This window comes from Homo sapiens, chromosome 10 (genome assembly GCF_000001405.40).
Source record: "Homo sapiens chromosome 10, GRCh38.p14 Primary Assembly".
Classification (NCBI taxonomy): Eukaryota; Metazoa; Chordata; class Mammalia; order Primates; family Hominidae; genus Homo; species Homo sapiens.
This window is the reverse complement of record NC_000010.11, coordinates 87,845,992-87,870,368: the sequence shown is the minus strand read 5'-3', so window position 1 is coordinate 87,870,368 and position 24,377 is coordinate 87,845,992. Positions and strand designations below refer to the sequence as shown.

The following is a 24,377-nucleotide window of genomic DNA, read 5'->3' as shown; positions in this document are numbered from 1 at the left end:
CCCATTTGTGATGAACCAGCAAAATCACAGACATGTCATACCCAGACTTCCTAAAGGAATACCCTTATTTTTAAAAACACTTATAACTTGAAACAAAATCCTAACATGGCCCAAACTGAGGAAATTCAGTTACAATCATACACCATAAATGAAAATACAAATAATTTCCCTACATACATAACCTGAAATTACAGTTTTTCAGAGCAGTAGCTACCATTTAAGTATTTACAATGTGGCAGGTACTATGCTAAATGAAATTACTTATTATTATCTCACTTACTATTCAAGATAAACGTATGCGGTAGGTTCCATTATCATCCCCATTTTACAGATAAAATAGATTGAGAAAATCTAAATAACCTACTCAAAGTCATCCAGCTACTAAATGGAAGATCCAGGATTACAAAACAAGCAGTCTGGCTCCAGAGCCCACACTGCCTCCCTAAAATCTAAAATGAAACAATGTATATATGCTTAAAAGTATAGATAAACGTAATACTCAAAATTTTAACATAATTTAAAATAGATCTGACCATATTTAAAAACTATAGAACAATATTCTCTAAGGTAGTCTTTTCTTTAAAGAAACAAAAATTCGTTTTTTAATAAATATTAAGATAAAAGGTTTGCTAACTTTGTATACACATACACACACAGAGAAATCAAACACTGGTTAGATTCACTGTTCATATTTGAAGTGGTGAGTACTGATAATAATTATGTGTATAATTACTTAAAATATAATGTGTAAACAGTCTTCTTTTTCACACTATGTGGAGGTCAAGAAAATTCTTTTGATGGCAGGTACAGCTACAATATCCATCTCTCAATATTCTCAACACTGGCCAGGCGCAGTGGCTCACGCCTGTAATCCCAGCATTTTGGGAGGCCGAGGCAGGCGGATCACTTGAGGTCTGGAGTTTGAGACCAGCCTGGCCAAGGTGGTAAAACCCCATCTCTACTAAAAGTACAAAAACTATCTGGGCGTGGTGGCATGCACCTATAATCCCAGCTGCTTGGGAGGTTCAGGCAGGAGAATCGCCTGAACCTGGGAGGCAGAGGTTCCAGTGAGCCGAGATCCTGCCACTGCACCCCAGACTGGGCGATAGAGCGAGATTCCATCTCAAAAAAAAAAAAAAAAAAAAAAAAATTCTCAACACTGCCAAAAAGTAATGCCTTGAAGATGTCCTAATACCTTGAAGATGTTCACACATGTCCCAATGTCAACTGTTGCAAATGAAGAATCTGCCTTAACTATACAGAACTAAAACTTCCCAAATAAAATTAATTCACCCTTAAATTATGTTACTCTTCTTATATTTGCCGATACTTATTTATTCCAGTGCAAATTATTTTAAAAGAATTAAATTGCTAATACTTCCTCTGCAACCAATGAAAAAAATTCAAAAAACTAAGGGAAAGGTGAATAGTCAAGTACAATATACTAATTTCACCTTTCTTGGCAAATTATTTTACATTAGTGAATGCATATACTCAATATGTACAAAGAGAATCACCAAACACAGACCAATATACTTTTAACCACCTATGGAAGAACGTATATGTGGCAGTAATGCACCCTATAAAAGACTTACAGTTATCAGTTTGCTCAGCAAAGCCTTACCAATTTAAGGTTAGTCTAACCTCAACATTATTCTCTCTGATAAGCAACTAAATTAATTTCAAAGCTACCAAATAGAAAGCAATTGTAAAACAGAACTGACTGACCCCAGTCTCACAAATTTCCTAAGTCACTATCTTCAGAACAAATCCTAACATCTTTTCTTAATGAATTCAGGCCACAAGATGAATTCTTCAATGCTGACTGTGAAAATCAAGTTTAACAGAAAAAATGAAGAAAAAGGTAACAAGATTAAGAACTAATGGGTTCCATGTAATAAAACTTCTGAACTGTTTGTTTAACCCAACGGTTTCTACAGAAAAAAAAAAATACATTTCTTAAGCTATGTTAATATTACATTTTCTGGAAGCTAAATCCTTGTAGTATGGCAGAGGCCTCACATTTCAATTAAGCAGAAAATTGTCATATGCATGCAACACTTCTACAATTCTCTTTACAAACTCTGAAGTCACACACAATATCAATAATAAAAGTGATTTCCTAAGCTTTCGTCTTACTTAAAAGATTGAGATGAAAATTTAAAAATAGCACGTTTACTTCAAGTGAATTAATGTTAAAACTTTGTGAAGTGAATTTCCCATAACAAATACTCCTCCATTAAAAGTCACTGAAGTGATTACTTCAGAAGCGGCTTAAAATATTTTTTTAAGTGTTGCGCTATCACCAAATGAACAAACAGCAAATGGAGGCAAATTTCAAAATAACATTAGAAAATAAGAATTGAAGACTTCTTCACTTCCAAAAAGTAAGCCATTTCATAACACTAAGAAGTTTATGTATTTTATGTGGCTATGAGAAAGCAGATGCACTGTTCCATACAAAAATTAAAATATCACCAGTTGCCTTTCCCATGTTATTAAAAATAAAATTCTAAAAAGGTAATAAAGGAATCTTTCTTTACTATCTTCTAAAACTAAGTTTAAAATGAAGGTGGTTATACCTCACCATATTTTATTATCTTTAATCATTTAGTATTTACTTAGTATATTATAAGCAATGTAAATCTGCATTGATGACTATACTGCTGTGCAAACTTTTACACTGGCAGCAATAAAATTCCTTTTTCCTCATATAAACTGTACATTACTCCTTTCAGTTGTGCTTTACACTTGAATAAGCACTATGAAAAATGAAGTTTGTAAGTTATCATACAGCAATTAGGTGGTCCAGTCATGTTTTTCAGGAAATATAACTTAGCAGATACAAAACAATGTAAAATAAATGTTGTGAATAGAATACTTTTTAAAACCCTCATGATTAATTTCAGTAATCACTTACCTTGAGGTAATTTAGGTAACTTCAATAGTCACTGTACTCTCTACAAGTTAAAAGTATTCCCTGTGAACATTTATTTGAAAAGAGGCAAATCTACCAAACAATAAAAATACAACAGAAGCCTAACGTTTCCACATACCCTAAATACACTTAATTTTTCTATAGTCTCAAATTCAGCACTATATTTCAGACTAATATTAAGCATATAACCCTACTAACAAATTTTTAGAATAATTTAATTTTGCGATAATATTTTAAAACTGAATTATTGTCCTCAATTTTCCTCGGAGAAATGGCTTCATTATTAATCTTTCTTTATCAGATAAAAATACTCCAATCACTACTTTCATAAAGGAATTTAACTTTTCACAGGTTAGTTACTGAAATAAATACTACAACATGTCAAAGACAAAGTCTTCAATGACAATTTTAATGCCTTCCCACTCCAATAAACAGAAAACATTAACGTGAAAACAAGCAAACCAAGTACGTTGGAATATCAAAATTATTGGGAGTGCAATTATCAAAAAAGCAAGCACTTCACTGACTTTCCTTACTGACTTTTTTTCATATCAACTTTTGGCTCAATAAAACCACAACTCTAGAAATTAAGTGTTATTAGTCATTTGACGCAATATTTGATACTGCTTTCTATGCATATCATAACTAAAAGTACAGTTTTAGAGAAAGTTTTAAGTCACACAAATTTCATGTGTAGAGACCAACATACGCTGAAATCAAAGAAAATGCCAGTCATGTCACAGCTCACATGTAAAAACCTGGTAAAATAATTTTAAGGTCTTAATAACCCTGATAATTTAAAATCAAGTGGGAAAAGTAAAAGTAGTGTGTTATGTACTTTAAGTGCTGAAAGAAATCTGTCTCCCAGACAGCATTCAATTATTTTCTTCAAAGGCTTTTTTTTCAAAGTTACATAAACATTTAATTTTTTGTTCCTATATATTTGGATGACTGTCAGTAATTCATGCTAATAGTAGACTGCTTTGGAAGTCACAAAAGAATTTTTCCATAATTATCTTCTGGGCAAGCGGGTCCAGTTTAGCCTTAGTAACATTCTCAATTAATGTCAACTTCAAAATTTGCAAATACTCTTTTAAAATAATATTTTTGGCTTAACAGAAAACTAAATTTTGGGAAGCTACTTCTTCAGTAAGTTTTACATTCATTTCAAAACAAAAACTTGGGCAAAATTAACTGTGCACATTTATATGCAGCTAACATAATCCAACGGAATAAAACCTCTCCCGATATAAACGCTGTCTTAAAAAAAAATATTCCCCACAATTTTTAGCAGGACATATAGACACTGTAGTGTCACTCTACCTTTAGACAAAATGCAACTGACATTTGCTAAGAAATAACTTTTATTAAAAATACTGTGCTAGTACTTATGCAATTACATAATTTTAACTAAATATTGTCCACTGCCACAATTCGCATTACCAAACTCATATTACCAAATTTTAGGCCTTGATAGAGCCTAAATGCTTCAGTCACTTCAGACCAATAACTTAATTCTGTTTTCACATACCTTATACACTGGCCTACCAATAGCTCTCAATTCCTGTCAATACTTTCCCCATTCTGCAAAAAGAGGGCCCCATCCCCATCCCTAATCAAAACCAATGTGTTGTACCTGAAACTGCAAAGATTAATGCTTTTCGATGACCACTAACTTTTGAAGCCCGAAGGCCTAACTTTTAGACAACTAAAGCTACACACTGTTAAAATTCTTGGGCTTCTGTCTTATTCAGCAAGCTGACTCAGTAAATTTAATACACTGTATGAAAAAAGCTAACATACCTACAATCTAAAGCTGGAGTAAACCCCTCTTGCCAGCATTTCTAGATATTAGCTGGTAAAATACAACTGACATTCTACACAAATCAGTAAAATTAACGATACCAAAAGGTGTCAGAGGACCTGAAACCTAAAAACGGTGAGCAGCAATTCTGGCATCACAACAATACTTAAATTTCAAGCATGAACTGAAGTTTTATTTCTGCAATCTTCACTTGCTACACACAATACCCTTGAACCTACACATTACCATCTGGGATCAGAAACTACTCAATATCCATTCTATGTTTATGACAAGAGCACTGAACATTAAATGCTACTGAAGTGCAAATTTCAAGCACTATCCTACATCACCCCATAGGGAGAGAAAAAGGTAAATATAACAAAGATCTAGTAAGAACGCCTTATAAGGTATATTATGGCACTATTGACTTCAAACTACAAAACTTCTACATACAGTTCAAAGTTGTAGGTAACTTAAGTTTAAACATTAACAAAACTACTTTTTGCCCTCAATGTGCACCATATATACTGAAAATGATTCTGCTTCTAAAGTTATGCAAATCAGTCATATTTTAAAAGAATCTATCAATGCAACTCAGGAAACTAAAACAATCACTGCAAGATTCTGATGCAATATGCGTACGTGCAACACTAATTTTCATTTTATTCTGATCTAAACCCTTGATCTAGGGCCTAAGCCAAGATTTAATCGAAATATGCTCAACCTCAAAAAGCGTCTACTTTTTTGTTCATTTAGGAGACCGGATTACCGAGCTCGCTAATCCACTAACAGTGTACTGTATTCTGTATTAACGGACAATAGCCCTCAGGAAGAGACCATATAGATAGCCTAAGAAAGCAATCGGTGGCTTGACACTTGCAACCAGGCAAGAGTTCCGTCTAGCCAAACACACCCTAGGTTGAATACACAGAAAGGAAACACAAAATATATGACCTAGCAACCTGACCAGGGTTAAATGTTATAGTCACCCAAACTACGGACATTTTCGCATCCGTCTACTCCCACGTTCTAAGAGAGTGACAGAAAGGTAAAGAGGAGCAGCCGCAGAAATGGATACAGGTCAAGTCTAAGTCGAATCCATCCTCTTGATATCTCCTTTTGTTTCTGCTAACGATCTCTTTGATGATGGCTGTCATGTCTGGGAGCCTGTGGCTGAAGAAAAAGGAGGAGAGAGATGGCAGAAGCTGCTGGTGGCGGGGCTTCTTCTGCAGGATGGAAATGGCTCTGGACTTGGCGGTAGCTGATGCCCCTCGCTCTGCCGCCGCTTGGCTCTGGACCGCAGCCGGGTAATGGCTGCTGCGGCGGCTGCTGGATGGTTGCAGCGACTGGGCCTGCTTCTCCTCAGCAGCCAGAGGCCTGGCAGCGGCGGCAGCGGAATGGGGAGAAGACGAATAATCCTCCGAACGGCTGCCTCCGCCGGCGGCCTCCGGAGCCCGGGCCACGGGGGGTGCGGCGGCGGCGCACGGGAGGTTTAAAACCGGCCCGGGTCCCTGGATGTGCCAGCCGCCGCCGCCGCCGTGTTGGAGGCAGTAGAAGGGGAGAGACCAACTCTCCGGCGTTCCCAGCCCTGGAAATGGTGACAGGCGACTCAGACCCCCTCCCTGGAGCTGCAGCCGCCGCGGCCGCCGCCGCCGCCGCTTCTCCCCCCCGCTCCAGGAGCGGGAGGTGCCGCCGCCGCCGCCGCGCCTCAGCCGGCTCCCGCCCGAGCCCACGGCTTCCACCTTCCCTTTCAGGAGAAGCCGAGGAAGAGGCTGCACGGTTAGAAAAGACGAAGAGGAGGCGAGAAACGCCGCCGCTGCCGCCGCCGCAGGCCGGCCGGCTCCCCGAGGGCGCTGCCCCCGCGGCTGCTCACAGGCGCTGAGAGGGGCTCCGGGCCGCGGCCGCCGCCGTCTCTCATCTCCCTCGCCTGAGCCCGGCCTCGCCTCACAGCGGCTCAACTCTCAAACTTCCATCATGGCTGCAGCTTCCGAGAGGAGAGAACTGAGCGCAGTCGCGTCCCAGCGCCGAGCGCGTATCCTGCCGCAGCGCATAAAGAGTCCCGCCACATCACCGCCCGCCGGCCTGCCCGCCCCCTCCGCCGCCGCGCCGGGAGCCCGGGCGCCTCGGAAGACCGAGGGGAGGCGGGAGGCGAGCGAGAGGCGGACGGGACCGCGCCGGGCGAGGGGAGGGCAGGGCAGGGCAGGGGGCGGTAGGAGGGGGCAGAGCGGTAGCTCTGGGTGCGAGCGCAGAGTCCCCAAGCCGCAGGCTCTACTGAGCATGCCCAGTGTAGCTGCCTGGGGCTTGCTCGGGCCGGTTCCCAGCCGCCAGCCTGCAGCTGCACTTGCTGCGGCTTTTGCAGCAACGCGAGGCGAGGATAACGAGCTAAGCCTCGGCCTCTGCCCAGAAACCCAGCCGGAGGCAGGGTAGGCTGTTGTGGGGCGGGGGTGGAGGACTGATGATGAAAGCTGAGATGGGTGCGTTGAGCAGTGTCACTGACTCGAGTCTGAGGTTACCTGTGCACAGGTGAAAAGGACCAGGTGACCACGCTGCTCAGTGTAGAGGGAAATGCAGGGACGGTCCCTGCAAGGGGAATACCCTCCCCCCTTGCCTCTACCCCTAGATTTCCGCGGCGTGGACTGCATTCGCTCTTTCCTTTTGCACCGCTGTCGGATCACAATCGTTCGCAGAGATTTGACTGTAACAGCCTTTGCCTAGAGATTCCCCCTTCCCCCAAATCTGTGTCCTCATGGTGTCAGTCTTAGCACAAAGAGCAACCTGCTATTGTGTCGCCAGCGTGTATCACCTCATCCGGCTCCCTTGCAGCGCCCCACCTCTCGCTTCCCCGGTAACTCGGCTCGTTTGCCCTAAAAATGAAAGCTCTCAGCCGAGCGTGCTGAACGTGAACACATAGCCGTTGAATTTCAAGGGCCCAAAGGGCACCTATCTAAATGAACTGAAAGAGGATCCCTGTGAGTGGGACGCACCCCGCAGGCCTCTCCTGCGCCCGCTCCGGTGCCCCCAAGAGAGTCGAGCATCTTTCCCCTCGGGCTCCAGGTCGGTTCGCGGCGTCGGAGTCAAGCTCGGTTCTCAGAGACCACCTAGCCCCGCCCCCCCTTGGCCGCCGTGAAAACCCGGCAGGATGGATCGCCCGGGGCCAGGCTCCGCGCGCCCCGGCCGGACCGTGCACGTTTGGGGTTACCGGGTTGAGTGGAAAGTACGGAACGGTAGGAAGCTGCAGCCCAGCGAGTGGGCGGGGCGAGGAGACCTAGGAGGGTTCAAAAGGAGGTGGAAGGATACACGGGCCACAGTCGGAACTACTTTCCGAAGGAGGTCACGTGTGTCCCTAGTTGGGGAACTTTCCAAATTCCCACTCCCCAGTGATAGCTCCGGAGGCAAGTCGTCTTCTTCCTTTGCTCGGGGTGCTCTTGCCTGGTGCAGGCAGCGGAACCCCAACCCTTCCTGCGCCGCGGCGGAAACAGGGGCTCGGACCAGCCTCCCGAAGGAGCGCTGTCGGGGCTGGCGCTTGGGGAACTGGTTACACAAGCACCCACATCCAAACACGTGCCCCCGCCTCCCCGCCTGCTGGCTGCCGCCGATTCTTACAGAACGCGGGGAGAGAGTCCCCAAACTGGTGCCACTCCTCGCCTGCTACCCTAAGAGCAAGCCAAAGGACTGAGACCTGAGACTCACTCCTTGCTCTACATCGACCTATTCTGCGCCTTCCCAAACGTGGGAAAAGGAGCTGGGCGCTAGGGCTCTCGGGCCTCTCCATCGCTGATGCCCTGCCGCTTAGGGTGAACCCTTTTGGTTCTGTGCTTGAGGGTATCTCCTGCTGCAGCCCAGAGCGTGCATTCTCCGATGTTGCAACAAACGTCCAGTCACTACCCCTGAGCTGGTGAGCGCGCCCCACCTACTGTGGACTCAGCCAAGTGACTTATCTGGTCTGAGAACCTAGTCAATGGCCGTCAGCCCAGAACAAACCTGTCAAGTCTGTTTACAGCCCCGATTGGGCTGACCTGTCACCGTGAGAGAGCTGATTCGGAAATGCTGAGAGTTGGATCGCACTCCTACCCCGCACCCCACCCGTCAAGGATCTACAAAGCAAGTAGTCGACCCGCTTAAAGAGAATGAGCATCAACACCAGTCTGGGAATTTATTGTTTTTTCATTTCCCTTAGGAAGTAGAACTACAGACGACAATTTGAGTCAAAAAATATCTAACGAGACCTAGGTTGAAGCACTGAGTTGTTTTTCAAACTTTGAGAGAATGAGAATCAATCTGCATGTGTGTTCAATAATTGTAAGTGCCTAGCAAAGTCTAAAGAGGGTTTATGCTGTATTTGAGAAAGAGTACTGTATATGTGCACATCATAGTTGCAGGCAACCTCTGAAGACTAGAAACCTCAAGAGACCTAGCGCAGAAAGCCACAGGCCATTACCTAACTCCGGGACTACTAATTAAACCTGGGATATTTACAGTGTTCTTAGAGACCTCTGAGGCTCCATAAAACTTTGCACTTATATACAGCATTTAAGATAGCTGTGCAGGAGTTAACAACCTGCTGAAGCTTCAGTGTTGATATTTATTGAAGACTGGTTTTGTGCATAGTTCTGGTCAGCTTGGGAAAGGCAAGGACCACAGTGGAAAAGGAAATGGAAAGCAACCGGAAAAGAGTAAGAGAAAGGCCTCCAGTTGATTTCCAGAGATGCAGATACTGTCCACACAGCCTAGCGTGAACTACAGATTTCATTATTGTATAAATAACCAAAGATAAGGAGTTCCTGATGTCTAGGTGTTCTACTAGATTGCATGGTAAAAACCAGAGCTGTGTTTAATTATCAATTACTGCGTGGTAGAAAAAGGGAAAATGAAGATGAACTTTTAAAAGGGGAGTAGATTAGGGAGGGGTAAAATGTCTCACATTTGTTTCTTAGATTGCTGATCTTGTCTCCAGAGTCCCTGTTATTAGCACTGCCCTTCTCTGTCCCTCCCCTGGAGCCTACCCTAAGTGACAATTAGTCTCATAGCATCTGAGAATCTCTGAAATCTGCTTTCATGGAAGCAAATGAAACAAGGGTGCATTCCTGTCCTGGTGCGACAGAATCCTCTTGGATTCCATGGCACAGAGTTACTCTGGAGCAGAGATAATCTGCATCACCAGCACTAAAGTGCTAGAATATGAGACCAGCCTCCAAGTACTTCCATCCGGCTGAAGAAAGAAAATGGGAAATGGGTTTTACTGCTTCTCTAAACATCAGGTCCCTCTACTTCTCTCTAGTGGTGAATGAAAGGATCATCAATGTTGGCAGATATTTGGCCAGCCCAACAGCAACATCAGGTGGTTATTAGGAGTTGGTGAATAAAATCCTCCTTCTGTTCCTAGTGTTAAGTTGTTTCTGAAAGAAATACTGATGCATCCTTTTCCAATTTTTTGTTTTTCTTTTCCTTTCTACCCAAATGGCTGGCCCTATCTAAACTAAAGAAAGTTTCAAAAATAGTACTTTTTTAAAGTTCAGTTGAAAATACCTGCTTGGCTGTATAGATATTACAATACACTGGTCTCCAAGCACTTCAGTTCTTTTTTTTTTTTTCTTTTTTTTTTTTTTTTTTTGAGACGGAGTCTCACAGGCTGGAGTGCAGTGGCATGATCTCGGTTCACTGCAACCTCTGCCTCCCAGGTTCAAGCAATTCCCCTGCCTCAGCCTCCCGAGTAGCTGGGACTACAGGCGCACACCATCATGCCGGGCTAATTTTTTGTAGTTTAGTAAAGACAGGGTTTCACCATGTTGGTCAGGATGGTCTCGATCTCCTGACCTCGTGATCTGCCCGCCACGGCCTCCCAAAGTGCTGGGATTACAGGCGTGAGCCACCGCGCCCGGCCATACTTAGTTCTTTACCTGTCTGGATTCAGAACCAGAATACCATAGGGAGAAGTAGAAGCTTGTAACAAAGGGACAATTATATAAAGCTTCAGGGTGACTATGTAGATTGATTAGTAAGCATGGTAAACTAGCTTTAATTATCGCTTCTAACAGCTGATTCCAAAACTCTATTGTTACTACACCAAAATAATGTCGAAAGAAAATTTCTTTCTTATTTTCTTTGATAAGCGAAATGACCAGCAACTTGATGTGGATGATATAAATACTTGATGTGCTCTTTGTAGGTCATCTGCTAAGATGTCTTTTGTGTAAACACTCTGATCTCTATAGTGCCTTTCTCATCTCCCATACGCTGACCTTTCAAAAAGGGATCTAACTCAATAGCTTTAATTTTTAAACAATCTTCTGTATTTCTGTCTGTTTAACTACTGTTTTCTAAATAATACAGAATATAAAAACATAATAATCATTGGATTGAATGTAAACCCATTGTTCCAAGGGTCTGAGGTTTTCCCCTTATTTCATTTATCCTAATAACAAACATTATTGTTCTTTCAATAAAGATAATTTTAAGACATTCTCCAAAAGGCGCTACTGTGGGTCATACAAGTAACTATATTCTAAAAGAGAATTTTCCATTATTGTCTACAAGCTTCCCATGTCCCAAATCTCTCCTGAAGCTATTTCAGATGCCATGGTGTCATCTTTCACATCTTGGTAGAGAGATGTGCTGTATGAAATCATCATTCTCAGAGAAATAAGGGTTGAGTTGGTTGCTCCTGAGAACAATAGAGCAGACCAGGTACTCACTGTGTCCAAGTGGCGTTCAGAAATTTTGTCTTGGACCGTGGAGCAATACAAATAAAAAAGACATAACATGACAAGACAGCTTTGACTATGTTAGTCTCCAGGCTAACACTAGCTACCAATTATTCTACTTGGTCCCCTTAATACTAACTCTAGCCATATGGAGCACATTGTTTGCTTTTTAGACCTTCCAATAATAGAAAAAGGTAATTCCCATATACCAGAAAATATTGGGACACCTACCAGGTGCTTCATAGAGTAGGCAGAAATTTTTTTTTTTTTTTTTTTTTTTTTTTTTTTTGAGACGGAGTCTCCCTCTGTTCCTCAGGCTGGAGTGCAGTGACGTGATCATGGCTCACTGCAACCTCTGCAGAATAGCCCGAATTTGTCTAGGTAGAGGGACATTGAGAAGGAGCCAAAACCCTGCTCTGCCTAACTCCTACAATTTTCCCCTTCAAAACATCCTTCTGGCCTCTAAGGCATCACAAAAAACAGCACCTTTTTCAAAGAGAAAATGCATGGGACAAATAGCCCTGGACCATGAAAAAAGGCAGACTTAGAGCTTATCTGCTTTTTCTTTACTTCTTTTCCCTTATTAAGACTCCACACTCCATTTAAAGAATCTTTTTTGTCCATCCTCTTGAGGGTAGGGGATCTTATCTCAATTCATTTATTTAATGATTCAATCAACAAATATTTGGGAGCCTATTAAGTGGCAATACTGTTCTAAGCTCTATGGACAGAGCAGTGACTACTATGGCATATAGTGTTCACTGTCATGGAATTTAGTCTGCATTGAAAACTTGACTTCTATGGCTGACATTGTTACAACTTCTTCCCAGCCCACAGAGTAAAGGTAAAGCAATAGGAAGATACCCTGACATTTGATAATTGTTTTGTTTTGTTTTTGAGACAGTCTCGCTCTGTTGCCCAGGCTGGAGTGCAGTAGCACAATCTCAGCTCACTGCAACCTCCGCCTCCCGAGGTGTTTAAGCAATTCTCCTGCCTCAGTCTCCCGAGTAGCTGGGATGACAGGCATGCACCACTGTGCCTGGCTAATTTTTTGTTTTTTTAGTAGAGACGGGGTTTCGCCATGTTGGCCAGGCTGGTCTTGAATTCCTGGCCTGAAGGGATCTGCCCACCTCCACCTCCCAAAGTGCTGAGATTACAGGTGTGAGCCACTGCACCTGGCTGGATAATTGTTTTCAATTATCTATTGCTGCATAATAAATTACCTTAAAACTTTCTGTTGTCTTCCTCTTGGGACCCAGGCACTGTGTAAAGAAGCTTGGGCTGGACCACTGAATGATGAGCAACCACAGCAAGAAAGGAGTCCCTAACCATTTTAGCTACTTTAACTGAGGTCCCAGACATGTGGGAAGCCATCTTGGACATTCCAGACCCAGCCAAACTCACAGCAGAATAAAGCACATGTCTGACCTGAACTGATACCATGGGGGCCGCTTAAAACTTAGTGGCTCAAAACAACTACCACCATTTATTTCCTCACAATTCTGCAATTGGGGAAGGGCACAGCTGGACAGGTCGGCTCCCCAATGACATTAGCTAGGGTCAGACGTGCTTTATTCAGCTGTGAATTTGGCTGGGTCTGGAATGTCCAAGATAGCTTACCACATGTCTGGGACCTCAGCTAGAGTAGCTAAAAATGGTTAGGAGCCTCCTTTCTTTGTGTGGTTGCTCATTATTCAGTGGTCCAACCCAGGCTTCTTTATACAGTGCCTGGATCCCAAGAGGAAGACAGCAGAAAATACAGGGTCTCTTAAATCCTGGGTTCAGAAGTCCCAGAATGTCACTTCCACTGCATTCTCTTGGCCAAGCAAGTCACAAGGACAGCCCAGATTCAAAAGGAAGGGAAAGATACTCCTTGATGGAAGTAGCAGCTGGGATGAGAAATTGTTGCCAGTCAATTTGGGAAATAGTCTATCATGATCCATCCTCCAGCTACAACAGTATACATATGCACATACATGCACACACACACACACACGACATGCAGAATACACTCACTCCCTTTCTCCAAAACTATTATTCTATATAGCATCAGTGTTAAACTTCAGGATCTAGTAATCTATACTAGGCCTAGATGTGGATGAGGCATTTCAGATGCAGCTTTTCTTCATCTGGAGACCTGTTAACTAAAAGAGAAGTTACATACACAACATACAATGCTGAAAAAGGGATAGGATAACTGCAGTAGACACGCCTGTTTGAAAATGGCGGAAATGGAAGGCATATAGCAGTCATTAGTCCATAGCAATTCTGAAATCCAGCCAAGCACTGTTACCGGTCCTCTGAGGATCAAGTTCTCCATTAGTGCCTAGGTTGGCCTCCCTCAGAATAGTTTCCCAATGCGTTGTTCTCAAGAGCTCTTAGTTCCACCCTCTGGGGTCTAGACTAGGAACTCTGAATCAATTTTCCTTTTTCATAAGAAACTGCCTTCCTTGAACAGAGGCTTCAGAAATAACACCACACATCTACAACCATCTGATCTTTGACAAACCTGACAAAAACAAGAAATGGGGAAAAGATTCCCTATTTAATAAATGGTGCTGGGAAAACTGGCTAGCCATATGTAGAAAGCTGAAACTGGATCCTTTCCTTACACCTTATACAAAAATTAATTCAATATGGATTAAAGACTTAAATGTTAGACATAAAAACTATAAAAACCCTAGAAGAAAACCTAGGCAATACCATTCAGGACATAGGCATGGGCAAGGACTTCATGACTAAAACACCAAAAGCAATGGCAACAAAAGCCAAAATAGACAAATGGGATCTAATTAAACTAAAGAGCTTCTGCACAGCAAAAGAAACTACCATCAGAGTGAACAGACAACCTACAGAATGGGAGAAAATTTTTACAATCTACCCATCTGACAAAGGGCTAATATCCAGAATCTAAAAAGAACTTAAACAAATTTACAAGAAAAAGTAAAGCAGCCCCATCAAAAAGTGGGCAAAGGATATGAACAGACACTTTCCAAAAGAAGACATTTATAGACATTTATGCAGTGAACAGACACATGAAAAAATGCTCGTCATCGCTGGTCGTCAGAGAAATGCAAATCAAAACCACAATGAGATACCATCTCACACCAGTTAGAATGGTGATAATTAAAAAATCAGGAAACAACAGATGCTGGAGAGGATGTGGAGAATAGCTTTTACACTGTTGGTGGGACTGTAAACTAGTTCAACCATTGTGGAAGACAGTGTGGCGATTCCTCAAGGATCTGGAACTAGAAATACCATTTGACCCAGCAATCCCATTACTGGGTATATACCCAAAGGATTATAAATCATGCTACTATAAAAACACATGCACACGTATGTTTATTGAGGTACTATTCACAATAGCAAAGACTTGGAACCAACATAAAATGTCCATCAATGATAGACTGGATTTAGAAAATGTGGCACGTACACACCATGGAATACTATGCAGCCATAAAAAAGGATGAGCTTCATGTCCTTTGTAGGGACATGGATGAAGTTAGAAACCATCATTCTGAGCAAACTATCACAAGGATAGAAAACCAGACACCACATGTTCTCACTCATAGGTGGGAATTGAATAATGAGAACACTTGGACACACGGCGGGGAATGTCACACACCAGGGCCTGTCGTGGGGGGGATGGGGGAGGGATAGCATTAGGAGAAATACCTAATATAAATAACCAGTTAATGGGTACAGCAAACCAACACAGCACATGTATACATATGTAACAAACCTGCACATTGTGCACATGTACCCTAGAACTTAAAGTATAATAAAAAAACAAAAACAAAAACAAAAAAGTAGGTATAAATATAAGCGCAGAACTGCTTTTGAGCAGCTACGCCGGGCACATCGCTTGTGGGTTAGCCTGCTCTGCAAGGAGCAGTACCTCTGCTGCTGTACACTGCCGCTTCAATAAAAGTTACTAACACCACCAAAAAAAAAAAAGAAAAGAAACTGCCTTCCTTCCTTTTACAGTTAAATAACTCTCTCAGCCTGCTTCCTGCCCGTAGGAAGTTGGGGGCTTGGAAGGTTTTTTCATTTTGAACTGTCTCTTCCTTAGTCCAAGCTGGTGCAATTTTATCCATATAACTCTCTTTAAAATTTTGTGACTCTTATTGGGGTTCACTTCTTGCCCGCAAAGCAACATCTATAATTCTTTCAAAAACAAACCTCTCTGCCTGTAGTCCTAGCACTTTGGGAGGCCAAGGTGGGAGGATTGCTTGAGGCCAGCAGTTTGAGACCAGCCTAGGAAACATAGCGAGACTCTGTCTCTGAAAAAAATTAAAAATTTAAATTAAAAATTTAAAAAACCTCTCTCTACTGTGGACCTGTAGAGGTGACTACTGTGGGACAACACTTAAGATTCTTAGAAGACCTTTTGTCTAGATGAGAGGCAATATCTTAAATATTTTAGAGGTCTTAGCACCAAGTCTCGATAAGATCTTTAACTTGAGGCCAATTCTACAGGCAGGCCCTTGAGGCCATTTCTTACTTTGAGAGTCTTTCTGGCATAAAGAGACTCTGCTTAAAAATGGGATAGTTCCTTTTTTAACACATCTCTGTCTCTTGTGTTATCATCATACATCACTTGTGTATCTTCGTACATCCCTAAAAGAAGCCAATTGTCACTCTGAACATTCAGCCTGAATGTTGCCAAATCCACAAGTTTATTAGGTACACTTTCTGTCTTCTATGTTTTACCATACATCTGACCACAAGGGTTGTCAAACATCTTGCCACTACTAACACCATTTCTCCAACCTTCAATAGCAATTTTCTCACTGCTCTTCCAGCTCTGTTAGAAGTCTTTTCCCCAGACTAAGGAGACATATCAACTAAGAGCAAGTAAGGGAACCTGGATTAAATCTTGGAACAGAAAAAGAACATCACTACAAAAACAAGTGAATTTCATATAAGGTTCGTACCTTGTGCTAATTTCCTGGTTTTGATAATCGTTCTGTGGCTATTAATAAGTTATTGGCCAGGAACAGTGGCTCATGCCTGTAATTCTGACACTTTAGGAGGCTGAAGTGGGAGGATGGCTTGAACCCAGGAGTTCGAGACCAACCTGGGCAACATAGTGAGACCCCGTCTCTTGAAAGCAGGGAATTTTTTTTTTTTTTTTTTTTGAGGCAGAATCTCACTCTGTCAGCCAGGTTGGAGTGCAGTGGTGCAATCTCGGCTCACGGCAACCTTCACCTCCTGGTTCAAGCGATTCTCTTACCTTGGCCTCCCAAGTAGCTGGGATTATGGGCGCATGCCACCACGCACAGCTAATTTTTGTATTTTTAGTAGAGATGGGGTTTTGCCATGTTGGCCAGGCTGGTCTTGAACTCCTAGCCTCACGCAATCCGCCCACCTCGGCCTCCCAAAGTGCTGGGATTATAGGCGTGAGCCACTGTGCCTGGCCAAGACCCCCATCTCTTTAAAAAAAAAAAAAGTTATCAATACTAGGGCTGCTGGATAACAAGTATACGTAAACTCCACACCAGGCCAGGCATGGTGGCTCACTCCTGTCATCTTAGCACTTTGGGAGGCCAGGTGGGTAGATTGCTTGAGCTCAGGAGGTTGAGACCAGCCTGGGCAAAATGGAAAAACCATGTCTCTACAAAAAATACAAAAATTAGCTGGGCATGGTGGTGTGTGCCTATAGTCCCAGCTACTTGGGAGGCTGAGGTGGGAAGATCACCTGAGCCCCAGGAGGTCAAAGTTGCAGTGAGCAGTGATCGCACCACTATACTCCAGCCTGGTGACAGTGAAACCCTGTGTCAAAAAAAAAAAAAAAAAAAAAAATCCATACCATTTTTGCAACTTTTTTCTAAGTCTAGAATTTTTTCCAGGCCACACACGATGGCCCACACTTGTAATCCCAGCACTTTGGGAGGCCAAGGCAGGCGGATCACTTGAGGTCAGGGGTTTGAGACCAGACTGGCCAATATGGTGAAACCCCATCTCTAATAAAAATACAAAAATTAGCTGGGAGTGGTGGCGCATGCTTGTAATCCTAGCTATTTGGGAGGGTGGAGCAGGAGAATCGCTTGAACTCGGGAGGTAGAGGTTGCAGTGAGCCGAAATCGCACCACTGCACTCTAGCCTGGGCAACAGAGCGAGACTCTGCCTCAAAAAAAAAATTCTTTTAAAATAAAATATTTAAAAACCAAATTAGCTAGGCATGGTGGCTCATACCTATAATCCCAGCATTTTGGGAGGCTGAGAGGGAAGAATTGCCTGAGGCCAGGACAACATAGCAAGACCCCAGTCTCTACAAAAAAATAATAATTAGCTGGGCATGGTGGCATGTGCCTGTAGTTCTAGCTACTGGGGAAGCTGAAAAAAGATTCAAGGGAGGGGAAACAGACTCCATCTCCTTTTGGTGGGAAGGGTGGCATGCGTGTAGAGGCATGGAGGAATTGTTGGTGGCCATCTTCCACAATGACCCTAGTCCTATCCCCTATAAATAACCCCCCAAAACAGACCATTTTACGTAGTCCTTCTCTCAGGTCAGTTCTGCCTAGAATATCTGTCATTTAAGAATCCTATCAGCTGACAATTTGATTAGCAACTGAATGTTTTCAGTTGTTTTCTATTTTGCTCCTTAATCTTCTAGTTTGTTAATGTGCTTACTCATCTATTTTACAGCATGATTCTACTCTAGGACTAATGTATTTCCCAAAAGATTCATTAAAATTCAATGAAATAAAACAAAAGTGATAATACATATATATATACATGTGTTTGCATAAATACATACAAATTATCTGGAAGAATAAGAGATGAGATAACACATTCTCTCTGAGGGCAGGATAGAGAGGGAAGGCTTCCAAGGGAGATAAATTTCTCTTTTTATTTATTGTTTTTTATATGGTTCAAAGGTTCTTTACAATGATTATTATATTTATAAGGTAGAAAGGTGATTTCATCCATTAGAATTAAAACTAAAAATATATGTCTATTATCAAGAGAATATTAAATAACCAGGAAAGAAGCTCGATTCTAATTGTATTTTAAAATAAATGAGCACCCTAAAGAATTTCCAGAATTTAAGCGTAAGGGTCTGTTTGGTGTTTGCTGGACAATAGAAATACATGGGAATATCTGCCATAAATGGTACATAGTAGAGATGTGTGGTAGACAGGCTGTATCTTATCCTGAATACCCTCTCTTCCCCAGATCAATGGTCTTGACCAGATCTATTTTTTACTCTTTGTACTATTTAATAACTTTTGCTGCTCAAAGAAAATGTCCTCGAAAAATAATCATATGACAGCACAGTACCCCCATCTTCTTCCATTCAAGAGAGTGGCAGACTGCTTTATCATCCAGTGCATAAGAGCTAGAAAAAAACTTCATAGACCCGCTAGTTTACCAATCTCATTTTACAAATGAAGAAACTGAGGCGCAAAGGGTTTACATGCCCCAGATTACACAGCAACTCAGTGAGGGATCCTCAGTTGGAGCCCGGAGAATTCCCTGATATACCCTATCAGTGAATAAAGATGGTAAGAAAGTCTAGCTTGTATAGAAACCTAAATGAGTTAGTTAGAAATTTGACTAGAGATGGTTTTTAATGACATTTTCAAGGCTTGGAAAGGAGTGAACAAAGAAAACAAGGAGATTGCTTAAATAGAGATGATAAATAGGGTTTGGGATGGAGAAAAACAAGGATAAGTGAATGAATGATTCCCGATGTTCACTCTCTAACCTTAAGTGCCTTGAAATTAGCCCATGACGCTAAATACCTTAAGGATCAAACATTAAAACATGAATAGCCACATGTTGCAAATTTGTTTCTCCTCCTTAGTTCCTAAGATTACTGGGAGAGTGTCTTTCAGACAAGAATATAAAGGAGGCAGCCGTTACATGTGGACCGCAGACAGAAAAGGGACTGTGAGGCCCGTGCTCTTTTGAAAGGAAGGAAACACCAAACCCACATGGAGCAAGGAGAACGCTGCCACCTGCTGAAGAGTTGGAGTCAATGAAAATGCTGCCATGCAGTTACAGTCAGCACCTTCATCATGGCTCAAAACCAGTTAGAAAACCTCTTTGCAGTCTGAGGCAGGTCAGTGCTGAGAGAAAGCTTAATTCTAGATTTCATCAGGCCAATGTGTGCTGGAGAAAGGTTAGTTTGTCTCTGGTAAGAGGTGGTAGAGGTCTGCATATCTGCTTCTCTTTCTTGCACAAATATTTATGCTTATTAGCTTTGAATTTTTTCCCAAAAGCTAAATCTCAAAATACTAACATATTCTTGGATGAGTCTAGATAAAAATGATATCAGAAAAGGCAATACAAGGAACTTTATTCAAGTAATGCATGCACTAAGTTAAAAATTCTCCAGGGCTCACCACTATCCTTCCCCAGATAAGTGGCTTCCCCCCGCCCCCACCAGCTTTCCATTTCTTCCTCTTCTATTCATGTACAAATATACACACACACACCAAGGACAACTGCAAGAGAGGGCTGGGAGAAAGTTGCCAATCCTTTGTATAAGGCCTCAGTCTTTCCCTTTTCGTCCATCGTTCCACTCTCCTTTCTCCTGCCCTCTCTTGCCATTCTTTCTTCCAATCCCTATTTTTCTCCTCTTGACCTCTATCTTTCAAGATTCCCCTTATTAATATACAAGAAACTGATATGGCTGAGAGATCCCCTGGGAAGGTGATATATACAGGACTGCCAAGTTACACAACTGCAAGGGCCACAAGTGATATCATATGTGATGCTGTTGTTTTGTACCTTTTGATTTTTCAACCACATAAATGTGTAGTAGCTTTAATTTATATTTAAATCTTTTTGAATCTGACCTTGGTCCCCAATGGTAGACCACTGTTTAATTTCATGGTTACACTAAATAATAAAATAAAGCAGTTCTAGGCCCTGCCCAGTTATAAGTCTCTTATTAAACAATGTTTTAAGATCAATAGAATAAGTTCAAAAAATACTCCTATTGTGATTTAGATTTTTCTCTCTTGTAGGAACTTCAGAAAGAATACCATAGAAAAACCTAATGTCAGAACTAGCTTAGGAGGGAAATTTTATCTTTTCTAAATATAATAGAACAGTTCCCTTTTGTAGATTTTTGTTACTTAATTGTACTAAATGTACTACTTTTTTTTTTTTTCTTTTTTGAGACGGAGTGCCCAGACTGGAGTGCAGTGGGGCAGTCTTGGCTCACTGTAACCTCTGCCTCCCGGGTTCAAGCGATTCTACTGCCTCAGCCTCCCAAGTAGCTGGGACTACAGGCACACACCACTATGCCAGGCTAATTTTTGTATTTATAGTAGAGACAGGGCTTCACCATATTGGCCAGGCTGGTCTTGAACTCTGAACCTCAAGTAATCCACCTGCTTCAGCTTCCCAAAGTGCTGGGACTACAGGTGTGAGCCACCTCACGTGGCTTAAATATTTACATTTATTAAAGAAGGTACAGGTTTGCATTGCAGGGAACCCTAAAGAAAAATGAAGTCTCTAAGTAAAGTCATGGTACTTGAAAATTAATCTGGGAATATTTCAAATCCTTAACATAAATTTTATGAAGTCAGGGAACTGGGAGAAAGCTAATGGATAGAAACAGACCATTTTCAGAGAAAAAAAAAATAACCTCATTTACATACATGGCTCTGAGCCATAAGTCATTTCTGAAATTTCTTTTCTGGACATGGCATCTTTGTCTTGGCTAGCTCCCAGGGTGCAGCCCCAGGCCATTGGCTGCTGCCACTCATAGGACCACTGTTTTCCTACCTCACCTGTTGAAACAAGTAAGAGGGAGGACTTAATTAAGGTGTGCTTTATTCTTGTGTTCTTGTAGACTTGTTCATTGTAAAATAGGATTTTCTGCATTTCAAATCTTGTTTATTTTACAATGTTGTGGCATTTGTCCTATTAACTGGTCAACTTTTCCTTATGACTTGAATTTGGCACATTAAATGTTCTCACTCTTTTCAAGTAGAATTAAACTGAGTCCTGCTTGAGAATGGCCATTACTCTGTTTTTGAAATGTACTGTCCTTTGCAACTACATCCAGAAATCTGCAAACCAGAAAATGTTTGCCCTTATTCTTTTTTGTCCTTTACCTTATTCAGGGCAAACATTTTCTGGTTTGCAGATTTCTGGATGTAGTTACCTTGGTGGTTTAGTGGGCTTGAGTTTGTTTCAGAAGCTGAGTCAAGGAATCCTGACCCCTAGTTCTCCCAAACTGCACAAATTATTTCTAATAACCTTCTCCAGTAGACATCTGTTTATTTTGCAATTAATAGAGAGTAAAGAAGGCCTTAAAGGCATTTGTGCTTTAGGGCACTCAATGTAAATGAATTACGATGCTGTCTTTGTATAACATCTTGGTTGATGGTAGACTAATGATGCCCTTTAAAGAAAGAAATGTGAGAATCATGAATAAAAATACTTCCAGAAGTTGTCAAAAGCCACATTATAGAAAGAAATTTGGTGTCTCATAGAACACTGATGGATTACTACTCATTGCTCACCAGTTATTTAAATAAGGCGACCAAGGGATTTTTCCCAAATATAGAAGATTGCTATGACTTACATATATGGACAGAGGGACTGTTCCTGAGTCCTTGAGAGGCACAGCAATGTCCTCAGTGATGTGACTTCAGTGAAACAGTTACACAGCTTAGGAGACTCCAACACAAGCAATTCCACTTTTGGGTATAAACATCAGAGTAGTGGTCTTCAAATAGGAGAAATAAGGTTCTTAGTTTCAAGAGAATCAATTCCATAACTTCCATATACACTTTCTCCTAAATCTGATGTGCCTCAGAACTAGTGTAGTCAAGTGGACCTAGTAGTTCCTTGTCCCCATTTCCCCTTTCACAGTGCCCTTTATCCCACTTTAAAAGAGAACAGAATACCCCTCTCCATCTGAATGCTGAAACGATGTACTGCCTGAAAGTGTAAAAACCTGCAAGGAGCTAAAGAGATCATCTGCAATAATGATATTGCTGCTAAGTAGCTGAATAATTTTACCAACAAACCCTTTTAAAAGTTAACCTGTTTAACATTAATTTTTTTTCTGGTAAATTGAAGGAGAACCTATTGAAACTATTCATTGAAAAATCATTACAAATAAGATCACTAAGTGATGTATGACATATAATTTGGGAAGCTTTCAAATAAATGAGTAACACTGCTAAAACACTTCCTTTCACTCACCATCTACTTATGTGAATAATATTACTCAATGTTTACAACATAAAAGCAAAAACTAGGGATAAATGATCTAATGCTGAACTTGTCTCCTTCTAGGAATATATAAAATTCATTTGTGATATATAAACCAATTTTTTAAGCCCAGTTGATTTTTTTATATTTAATAATTATCAAAATTTAAAAGTATTTATTTGATTATACAAAAATATTAATGATAATTTGGAATAATTTTTAACACTGAGGAGCATTATGGTCCAGAAAATTTAACACAATTTAAATTTTTATAAAATTTGTTGCATGGAAATATGATACAGTCATCATCAATAAAAGATATTCACACATAATATATATTACATCCAAATAAAAATCTGTATCAGAATTGGAAAAAAAATTCAAGTTCAAAGAGAAAAAAGAATGATGTAAAATTTCCCATTGTAAAAAATGCTTGTTCGTTTTTTTAATGTTTTGATGGGCAATGGCAACAAATTACTATGGTATTTATGAATATTGGATACACTTAAGAATTCTACTTTAAATGTTACATAGGCCAGGCATGGTGGCTCACGCCTGTACTCCCAACACTTTGGGAGGCCGAGGCGGGTGGATCACCTGAGGTCAGGAGTTCGAGACCAGCCTGGCCAACATGGTGAAAACCCGTCTCTACTAAAAATACAGGTGAAACCCTGTCTCTACTAAAAATACAAAAAAAAAAAAAATTAGCAGGGCGTGGTGGCGGGTGTTTGTAATCCTAGCTACTCGGGAGACTGAGGCAGGAGAGAATCGCATGAACCCGGGAGGTGGAGGTTGCAGTGAGCCAAGATTGCGCCATCGTACTCCAGCCTGGGCAACAAGAGCAAAAACTCTGTCTCCAAAAAAAAAAAAAAAAAAGTTACATAACTAGGAAATTACTTCCTTTCCACCTACTTAAACTTAGAATAAAAAAGTTCAATTCTAACTCTACCATGTGTATAGAGGAAAAGTTTTTCCAAATTGTTTGTGGGATAAGCTAACAAAAAAGTTTAAAGACCCCTACTCTAGCAAAACTTTCATATATTGAAAGCAGAAACATATAGGGAAATTCATGGAAATATTATTTAAAACAGCAAAAAATTAGAATCTAAATGTTCCATATAGATAAATCAAATGTGATATTTTCATATGATAAAACATTATACAGCAGGTTAAACAAATAAATTAGATCAACTTATCAACATGGAAATTTTGCAAGCTTTATCAGATACTAGTTAAATCTGATTCTCAGAATTACATTGGGCTCATCCTTCTTTCATTTCCCATTCCTCTCATGACAGAGAAACCCATCCAAAAAGTACAATAGGTGTGACATTGCCCAAACTTTGGCCCTGAAGCAGAGAACCCTGAGTGGGTATGTAACATCATCATATCGCAGTTCTAATCATGAAGGCTCCATAGTTATGTAAGGTATTTTAATGACTACACTTGCTGGGAGTGGAAGGGAGATTAAACAGCTCAAATAACCAATTAGGAGGAAAAGGATTCCCTCATTATCTAGTCTTGCGTGACATAATGACGTTTCTGTCAACAACAGCCCGCATATACCAAGGCAGTCCCATGATTATAATGGAGCTGAAAAATTCCTATCGCCTTGTGAACCTAGCCATCCTAACGTCATGGAGTAATGCATTACTCACAGTTTGCGGTGATGCTGGTGCAAGCAAACTTACTGCACTACCAGTCATATAAAAGTATAGCACATTCAATTATGTACACTATGTAA

At 41.2% G+C, this 24,377-nt stretch overlaps 3 protein-coding genes across 5 annotated transcripts in view, besides 5 other annotated features; 1 reads left to right on the top strand and 2 right to left on the bottom strand.

Moving 5' to 3' along the window:
• The window catches only part of PTEN (phosphatase and tensin homolog), a 108,306-nt gene extending 101,562 nt beyond the window's left edge, over positions 1–6,744 (bottom strand). For 2 of the 3 annotated variants that reach the window (NM_000314.8, NM_001304718.2), the window contains 1 exon segment: positions 5,821–6,744. In NM_000314.8, coding sequence (NP_000305.3) covers positions 5,821–5,899 — 79 coding nt within the window. In that variant the 5' untranslated portion in view covers positions 5,900–6,744. 3 annotated transcript variants of the gene reach the window in all.
• Positions 6,450–6,589: a silencer, noted in NCBI's record as "silent region_2586". NCBI's record gives its function as "represses an Ori minimal core promoter by ATAC-STARR-seq in GM12878 lymphoblastoid cells {active_cell/tissue: GM12878}" and the evidence as "EXISTENCE:reporter gene assay evidence [ECO:0000049][PMID:35858748]".
• Positions 6,680–6,989: a silencer, noted in NCBI's record as "silent region_2585". NCBI's record gives its function as "represses an Ori minimal core promoter by ATAC-STARR-seq in GM12878 lymphoblastoid cells {active_cell/tissue: GM12878}" and the evidence as "EXISTENCE:reporter gene assay evidence [ECO:0000049][PMID:35858748]".
• Positions 6,715–6,810, bottom strand: MLDHR (mitochondrial lactate dehydrogenase regulator). The gene has a single exon (NM_001433720.1). The coding sequence runs from the start codon at positions 6,808–6,810 to the stop codon at positions 6,715–6,717; it is 96 nt and encodes a 31-aa protein (NP_001420649.1).
• Positions 6,836–11,211, top strand: KLLN (killin, p53 regulated DNA replication inhibitor). The gene has a single exon (NM_001126049.2). The coding sequence runs from the start codon at positions 7,882–7,884 to the stop codon at positions 8,416–8,418; it is 537 nt and encodes a 178-aa protein (NP_001119521.1). The 5' UTR covers positions 6,836–7,881; the 3' UTR covers positions 8,419–11,211.
• Positions 7,590–7,769: an enhancer, noted in NCBI's record as "active region_3716". NCBI's record gives its function as "activates an Ori minimal core promoter by ATAC-STARR-seq in GM12878 lymphoblastoid cells {active_cell/tissue: GM12878}" and the evidence as "EXISTENCE:reporter gene assay evidence [ECO:0000049][PMID:35858748]".
• Positions 8,020–8,109: an enhancer, noted in NCBI's record as "active region_3715". NCBI's record gives its function as "activates an Ori minimal core promoter by ATAC-STARR-seq in GM12878 lymphoblastoid cells {active_cell/tissue: GM12878}" and the evidence as "EXISTENCE:reporter gene assay evidence [ECO:0000049][PMID:35858748]".
• Positions 8,150–8,199: an enhancer, noted in NCBI's record as "active region_3714". NCBI's record gives its function as "activates an Ori minimal core promoter by ATAC-STARR-seq in GM12878 lymphoblastoid cells {active_cell/tissue: GM12878}" and the evidence as "EXISTENCE:reporter gene assay evidence [ECO:0000049][PMID:35858748]".